The sequence below is a fragment of the Homo sapiens genome, chromosome 11 (assembly GCF_000001405.40).
Source record: "Homo sapiens chromosome 11, GRCh38.p14 Primary Assembly".
Taxonomy (NCBI): Eukaryota; Metazoa; Chordata; class Mammalia; order Primates; family Hominidae; genus Homo; species Homo sapiens.
In genome coordinates, this window is record NC_000011.10 from 134,905,183 (window position 1) to 134,913,906 (window position 8,724).

Below are 8,724 nucleotides of genomic sequence, written 5' to 3' on the forward strand. Positions count from 1 at the left end.
GTGCTCCAGCACAGCCAATGCCAGGCAACAATGGTGGATGTGCACCTGCACCTGCTCAGGTCTCCTCCTACTGCGGTGAAGAGGAAGACACCTGCAGAGACCTGCACATCTGGATGGGCAAGGCCATGTCCAGTCTGGCCTCTGTGTCCTTGGACCGTGAGGTTTCTCCTCCTCCTTGTCTCCTCGAGCCAAGCCCATGCAGGATGATGGGGCTGGGCTATCCAAGCCCACTACGTCCACCCAGGGAATTGCTTTGTTTTCTGTGGGAACAGAATGGAAGGACTTTTATTTCTAGAAGACATTATCTCATCTCCTATATTAATCCGAGATGTATTAATGACATTTTTGACCCAAAAATATGCCTTTGAAATGAAGCAGTTATCTATTGAAGAAACTTTATTTCTAACGGAGAACAGAGCTGGACTCTGACAAGTTCCAGAGTGTCTCAGGAAATAGCAAATCTATCCTGGAATAGGAGCAAGAGAGCTTTGAAAGCAAAGAGCTGAGGATTCCAGCTGCAGGAGGCACTCTAGGGAAGGCGGCTGGAGCCAAGCCAGTGTCATCTGCCAACAGTGGCCACATTCTTAGGACAGACCAGGGAAAAGGAGGCCTTTCTGGTAACCTTGTTCACCCCAAATCTTCATTCCTACTTGCTGAGATTTTTTAAGTACCAAAATATCTGTGATTCTAGATGTTGACATAAAAATAGCCTTCAAGCTTCACCCAGTCCTTGGGGGCTCTATGCAGCAAAGTAAGCTGGTGAGGAAAGGCTGGCTGAGCTTCCTCTGGGAGCCGGGGCAGATGCTCATTGCCAAGTGTGGGGAGGCGATCCTGGAATGGGTCCAAATAAACATTCAATAAACTTGTCAGCCCGCTGTGGGGGTCCCTGCGAAGGACAGGCATCTCCCCTGTTTGCGGTGTCCTGGCAGTGACCTCACTTACTTCATGAGGGGCTGCCCCAGCACCTCCTACCACGGCCACGTTTCTGCCCAGGGAGCGTGTCATCGGGGGCTCCAGCTGTGCTGATTTTTATTTTGTGGCAGGAAATCAGCACTCCCCAGGCACCGCGTGGGCTGGGTAAGGGTGGAACGGTTCAGGGGAAGAGCAGAGCTCACGTCTGGAGTATGAGTAAATCTCCGACCCTCATGTCTGTCTGATTTTGTTTTTAAGAGTTTTGGGGAAGCTGGTATTCAGGATGGGTCCTGACTGGCAGTGAGCAGCACCTGCGGGCACTCGGGAGGGAGCAGGGAGCAGGTGGAGAGACGGAGCAGGAGGTGGACCAGACAGAACAGGAGGCGATGAGGAAAGCGAGGGGAAGACAGGGATGAGAACGGGGCAGACAAGAGGCAGAGGAAAGAAATGGGAACTAAAAGGGAAAAGGGAGGCAAGAAAGGATCAGAAAGTGTACTGTGTGGAGGACATGAGGGAAAGTCAGGGAGAATGCAAGGAGACAGCTCTGCCCGAAAGGTGAGATAAAAAGAACCGATGGCAGAACCTGAAATGTGAAAGGAAATGTGAATAAAACAGAAGGAAGAGTGGCTCGTCTGAGTGCGGAGAGCGGGAAAGCAGCCAGCACGTGAGTGTGCTCACGGCCGGGGATCGGGGGGATGCAGGGGCTGGACGATGCCCCTTCCCTGCTGCCCACATTTTGCTCATCTGAGAAGCTCCACAGCTGAGGTAGATGACCAGGCGGAGACAGGTGGAACTCCTCCCACCCATCCCCAGGCTTCCTCGTGGTGGCCAGGCTGACATGTCAGTAGTGAACCCCGAGGCTCCTTCTCCAACTTTGTCTCTGGCATAGAGATCATCCAGGGGCCGGAACGCAGCCTCTTCCTGAAGGTGAACTGAGGCTACATCCTTCAATGGCCCAGGAGCACCTGTTGAGGTGGGCATACCCTCCTTGAGTGCTGGCAGGCTCTAAGCCTCTGCATGCTGGCTCAGAAGTGCACCTGAATGGCCGGGAGCAGCGGCTTATGCCTGTAATCCCAGCACTTTGGGAGGCCGAGGTGGGGGGATTGCCTGAGCTCAGGAGTTCACGACCAGCCTGGGCAACATGGTAAAACCTCGTCTCTACTAAAATACAAAAAAATTAGCCGGGTATGGTGGTGTGTGCCTAAAGTCCCAGCTACTCGCAGGCTGAGGCAGAAGAGTTGCCTGAATCTGGGAGGCGGAGGTTGTGGTGAGCTGAGATAGCGCCACTGCACTCCAGCCTGGCAACAGAGCAAGACTCCATCTAAAACAAACAAACAAACAAACAAACAAACAAACAAACAAACAAACAAACAGTGCACCTTATGAGCAAGGATGCCCTTTGCTGTACAGGAGCTCCCTGTAGTTCCGCTCTTAGCCTACCTTCAGCCTTGCAGGGAGGTGCTGGGTGCCCCTAGCATTGCTCCCAGAGCCAGGTCCTGGGGAAGGACAAGGGCTCTAGGAAGGAGTCTGGAGGGAAAATGAGGTGAAGTGAAGTGCCCTGAACAGGTGAGCACAGCAGCAGGTCTAGATCCACAGAGAAACTGGGACTCAGCACTAAGCACCAGTGTACAGGCAACGCGGCCCATGGACATTAAGGAGGCATGAACTCACCTCCTTCAGGAGGCACGCTTCTCCCCGGAGCTTGCTCTCACTGTCTCTGGGCTTCTCTGGGGGGAACTGCAGCCTGGTAATGCAGGGGGATGGGGACCAGCCCCTAAGTGAATAGAGGATCTCAGGTTGAAGGCAGGGACTGTGGAGGTCATCAGGGCCATCCCACTGCTCTGGCTTGACCCCATGCCCCTGGGCTGGGAAGGACAGAAGTGCATGGCTCCGGAAGAAGAGGAGGGGAAGAGTGGAGCTACCAGGAAGGAGATCCCCTCTGCTGCATCCCACCAAGCCATTCGTCCCCATAAAATAACAACCTTGGTTATAACTGCAGAGACCCAAATATGGGAAAAAATTCCAAGGTCTGTTATCCCTCAATTTGTAATTAGAAAAACCATGTTTGAGCCCAAGCTGTGTCTCTTACCAATGGGATCAATTTTATTAAATCACCCAATCTCTCTGAGCCTCAGTTTCTTCTCCTATAAAGTGTTGTTGATGGTGCGCACATTTCAAACTCATTGTGGAGAAAAAGGACAACATAGGGCCACTATCAACAACCCTTCTGGAATGTAATTTGTGCTAATACACAAAAGTTTTTTACCATTGCTATGCGTAAAGAACCTGATTATCTGAACAGCCAATCATGTAAACCATATTTCAGTCACTTTGATAACCAAGAGGAAACATGTCTTTCACTAAGAAATATTGTTCTGGGTTATGCTGCATCTGTAGGCTCCTCCACCTCACCCCTGCCCACATTTGCTCACACTCTGCGTCGCGGAATGCAGTAGGTGGATCCTCAGGGATCTCTGCAGTTAAGGAGAAGCCCTTGGCCATACATAAGGCTCTTCCGCAGTGCAGGAGAGCTCATTCTCCCACTCCCCCTCCACTTGAGTGACTAAAATTGAATCAGTAGAATTCAGCAGATTAAGAAAATTGGTGTCATCCCACAGCTTCATTACCTTGCAGGAGATAATAGCACCTCCAGATCCCAGAGGGCAATTACCAAACTATAACACATCATTCATGAGCTAACCATACATCCGCCCCCTCTGTGAGCTGAATCCCTGCCACCCTCCCTTGGTGCAGAAGACTTTACTTCCAGAGAGCACCCCCAGCCCAGCAGTGCCGTGCACATTCCTCCCCCGACACTTCCCAAGCATAGGCAGATGCAGCCACTCTGTCAGCCTCAGAGCATGAGGACCTAGTTGCAGGTTGAGCGCCTGAACCCAAAATGAGATAATACCTTTGCAAAAACTGTCATGTATTGTCTTAAGAAAGCAATTATAATCAGGGCTGGGGTGCAGCTATGTCTCATAAATGACTTTGTATAGGACACTGCAGGCCACCAGGAACATCCCCATCTTTCATTTGTGTTTCCTGCAGAGAACTTCTCTCTCTCAGAGAACTTCTACATGGCTGAATTCCACGTGGGCCCCACATGTGTACCGCAAGTGGTGTGGTACACAGTGCAAACTTCATCACCAGTGAGGGACTGAGACCAGTTCTCTTATGACTCAAGTTAAAAAATAATAATGAAGTTTTTTTTAAAAGCAAGCGTTTTCAAGGGCCTTCCAGTAGCTTGGGGGAGAAGATATGTATTTTCTTGGATAGGCAAAGCAAAACATATTGATTATGACAATGCAGTGATTTTTGGAAGCAAATCTAATGAGAATAGTTGCCTTTTAATGTCAGGCCACCCCAACTGGGATTCCTTGGCTTATCATCCCTTTTTGTTTACCCTTTGTAATCACTGAGGCTCAGTCCCTATGGGTACTGATGTTGGGTGAATTGGAGGAACCGGAACATTAAGTAATTCACCAACTGAAGACACAGCCATTCTGACTTTGCAAGCTCATCCTCTTCTACTTAAACCTGTACAGCTGAGGTTCTTCAAGGCTGGGTTGTAGTCCTCTTTTTCTCCTTTGTCCAGACTCTTCTATGGAGAGTCATTCAAGTCATTATATGCTAGTATAGTAAGTGTGAACGACATACATATATCTTCAGCACCTACTTGTCTTCTGAGCTCCAGACCTACATATTCAAGTGCCTTTCTGATTTCTCTCCTTGGATGTTTCCAAAGCACATCATACTGGTCATGTCAAAAGCTAGATCAGTGACCCCTCACTGACCACTCCCCAGCCTGCTTATCCTCTTCTGTGCCCATAATGCTGAGCACCCAATGGCAAGACATGAAGCATGGCAGTCACCCTTGACCTCTTCTCCTTTAGCCGCACATTCAATTCCTTACCAAGTCATCTACGAACTAAACGTTTATTAAACATACCCATTTCTCTATACCGCAACCATAATTTTAGTCCAAGCTATAATCATTTTCTGCCTGAGATGCTGAAATGGCCATCTATATGGCCTGGTGTCCAGCATCCCCACCTGCACCAAAAGTGACCTGCTCAATACTTAACTATGGTGACGCTGACCACGTTATTAAACATTATTCAATGGCTTCTCATTAGTTTGAGGATAAAGCTAAACATTTTTCATGTTGTCTGTGAAGCAAGTAAAGGCTGACATGAACCCTCATGTAGATTCCACCGCAATGAATCCTGCACACCCCAGATGACAACTTCAGCACCAAGGCCACATGAAAATATTTGGGGCATAGAACATTTATCTTAATTGGCTATGTTAAAGGGATAAAGGAAGTCTTGGATCTTTGGGCTTCTGGCCCTTCCAATCAATAGCACATAAAATACGTAAAGCATTGCTTTTGGTTGACAGTAAGAACAATAAATCCTCAATAAATCACATTAATGAGAAGTCCTCAATTATAGAAATCAATAAGACTCTCAGAGGTAATGCAAACATAACTCAGGAACCTGGAATAAACTGGGACATGACCATGTATTTCTATGCATACAGAAGTTATAAATATGCATGTGAACACTGGGTGGGGGTTATCCAAAGATGGTAGGAAACTCCTGTGAATTTCAAATCCCCTAAAAATAATTTTGCTGTGAAGTCTCAACTCAGCTGATATTAATTATTTAACAGCTAATTTAACATAGTGGTTAAGAACGTGACTCCGGAGCCACAGTACCCAGCTCATATTCTGACTTTACTAACTCATTCTGGTTCTCTGGGCAAATTACTTAACCCACCTGCGCCTTGGTTTCCTAAATAATGAGAAGGATTGTAACAATAGTGCCCACTTCATTAGAGCTATTGAGATAATTAAATTATATACAAAAGACATTTAAAAGAATATCTAATATATAAGAAGCACTACATAAAATATTAATATTGCCTATGTTTTTATGTGAGTATGGTCAGCAGCATAATGCTTCCTCAAAGGACATTCCCTGTCCCAAATCCCTAGAATCTATGAATGTGTTGCCTTGTGACAAACGGACTTTGCAGATATGATTACAGTTTAATCCCTGAGATGGGAGATAAGAGGTGCTGCTTATGACATAGACCTTGATGATGAGGGCTTTTAGGCCTGGCCTGGTGAATAACTACATATGCTTCTGCTCCTCCGAATGAAACTAATTTTTCTCCTCTGAGTTTGATGTGGTTTGAAGGCATTTTGGTTGAGGAAAGAGCAAGGGTCGAACCAGTAACAGGCTGGCTATGGGAGAAGCCTGTGGATGGCAGGCCAGAATTAGGGGCAGGCAAATTTAGGAGTGGAAAGTTGCTCTGGGGAAGTAATAATATTACAGAATGTTTATTTTGTGCTTATTACAGACTAGGTGCTACTCACCCCACTTAATCCTTAGAACTCGTAATTATTTCCCTAAACAGATGGAGAAACTAAGGTATGGATGGTGTCATGCACAAGGATGCGTCGCTGGTGAGTTGCAGGTTTGGTAGATCTGAGATTAAAGCCTGCACAGTCTCGTGCCAGAGCCTGCACCCTTGGCCCCACCCTACACTGCAAATTGACCTGGATTACATCATGTGGTGTTTGAATGACAGGATTTATTGTCGAGGCAATGGGTAAGTACACAAAGGTCTGGATAGGATGTGGCCATATCAGAGATCTGCCCCAGGAAGACTGCTCTGGCATCGATGCCAAGATAGAGTCAGTGGACCAGGGGAAGCAGAGACCAGCTCAGAGCAGGATTCCCAGTGAAGGAAAGGACGAAGAGGCAAACGGGAGTCTGTGAGGGGGTGGTGATATTTGTGCTGGAAGAGGTGTCTGAGTTGCTTATCTGGGAATCACTGTAGAGAATTGTCAGGCCAAGTTTTGAATTAAGCATAAGGAGAAATAATTTATGTAGCTATAAAAGCCCAGAGTGGGTGACTGAGTTGGTGGCTTACATGGTCTCTAAATTGAGTAATGCTATGTCAGAGACAGGAAGGCAAAGGCATCTCAGCCGTGGGATTCATCTGCAATGTCTTCTTCAAGGCGTAAATATGTTTTTATTAGCTTTATGCATATAACCATAAGGAATTAGAACATCAGAGAGAAGAAGACCCTCATAAAATTGGGATCTTTTTTAGCACAGGTGCCAGGATGTCAGGTATCAGGTCACTTTCAGATGATTCACCACAGCGTCCCTTTCCTTGCTGCTGGTGGTCACTCTACACAAGGCCAGTGGGCAGGCTGAAACCACCAAGGTCAGCAACCCAGGACAGGGAAAGGCAGAAGCCTTTCTTTCCACTCTCTTTCCCAGGGTATTGGGAGAGCTAAACCATCCAGGCATTGGTCTTTCCACTGCAGAAAATTTTTCTTCCCCAGCCAAGGACCTTAACTATTAGCCCAATGGGTGACTCTTGAATCTGGGACCACTAGGTCCCTCACTGCATGGAGATTAGTTATCAAAGGCACTGCTACGCTGAGCAGTCTGTTGCAGAGCTGACTTCGGTTTGATGTTAGGTCGTTTTGACTTTATCCTTAGAAACAGCTGCTGAGAGTGTCTGCCAGTGTTCTACAATGTGCCGAAGAAGCCAGCCAGCATCTTTTTACCCTGCCTGTACCTCCAAATCACTGGGGAACCTATGCCTCACCCGAGGCCGATTGACCCAGAACGGCTTTGGCTAAGACACAGGTGTTAATAGTCTTTAAAGCACTCTTTGTGAAATCTAATTTGCATTCAGAGCTAAGAAACACTGTGCTAGATTTTTTTAAAGATGCACACAGCTATATGCCATGATTCTTCTTCCGGTTGAAGGAGACAGAACTTGTGAACATAAGAATTATCAGCCACAGGAGGTAGCAGATGCCAAATGCTGAGCGCTATCACTAAATGCCAATCATGAGGAGACACGAACTAATATGAGGTGATGCAGGAAGTCTTCCCAGAGGAGGTGAGACTTGTGACAGGAAGGGAAGCAGGGTTAGGACTTAAACAAATGGAGGGGGCATCTTTGATGTCAGAATCCCAAGAGCAAATGCACCAAGGCTGTGCATGTAAGGTGAAGTGAGGAACTGACCCTCAAGCCCACCTCTGCTGGGGGAAACAAGGTGGTTCAGTGTCGTGAGTGCTTTTTCCATGCTGAGGAGACTGGGGAGATGAGACGGTCTCATTGATCTGCTAGGGATGTGTTCCTGGCTCCAGTTCCAGCTCGTAGTCCACCTCGGAAGGACTGTGGGCTTAGATCACACCCTCCCCTCCCTCCTCATGGATAGGCGAGGGCAGAGATGAGACAGAGAAGGAGGAGAGCTGAGGGGTCACCAGCAATGTCCCTGGACGGGGCCCTCAGAAAGGCGTGGCAGCCCAGGCTCGCTCAGGGAGAGCAGTGAGCGATCGTGGCCCCACAGGCTTGGAACTAATTCATCCGTGAGCCCTTCCTGTTTCCTTTAGCTGGCCGATCTTAAACTAGACCGCCACGAAATGGAGCCCTGAGACCCACTCTCGGTTTTCGGATTTGGTGAGTCTGGGGCAGCGTGGGGATGTGGACACCCAACAATCTCCCACGTGACAGTGATGCTGCGGCTGCGACCTGGCTCTGAGAGGTGCTGGGTGCATTTCATCCTGCGCGCTGAGTTCGTATTGAGGAAAGATCTTTTTGAAAGTTTCCATCTTAGCTGTGCTGAAGGAAAATGAAGACAGGGGTGTCTGCTCACACCTGGATGATCCAGAGAGAGAAAGCTGATCCCACAGTCCTGAGGGCTGGTGCAGTGGCAGCAGAGGGATAAACAGCAGGCGACTCTGTGGGTACAGAGATATGGGCTACGCGCTG

At 48.0% G+C, this 8,724-nt stretch overlaps 1 annotated feature.

Moving 5' to 3' along the window:
- Nucleotides 552-1,479: an enhancer, noted in NCBI's record as "H3K4me1 hESC enhancer chr11:134775628-134776555 (GRCh37/hg19 assembly coordinates)". NCBI's record gives its function as "activates a minimal SCP1, AML or CMV promoter by ChIP-STARR-seq in naive H9 embryonic stem cells {active_cell/tissue: H9 hESC(naive)}" and the evidence as "EXISTENCE:reporter gene assay evidence [ECO:0000049][PMID:30033119]".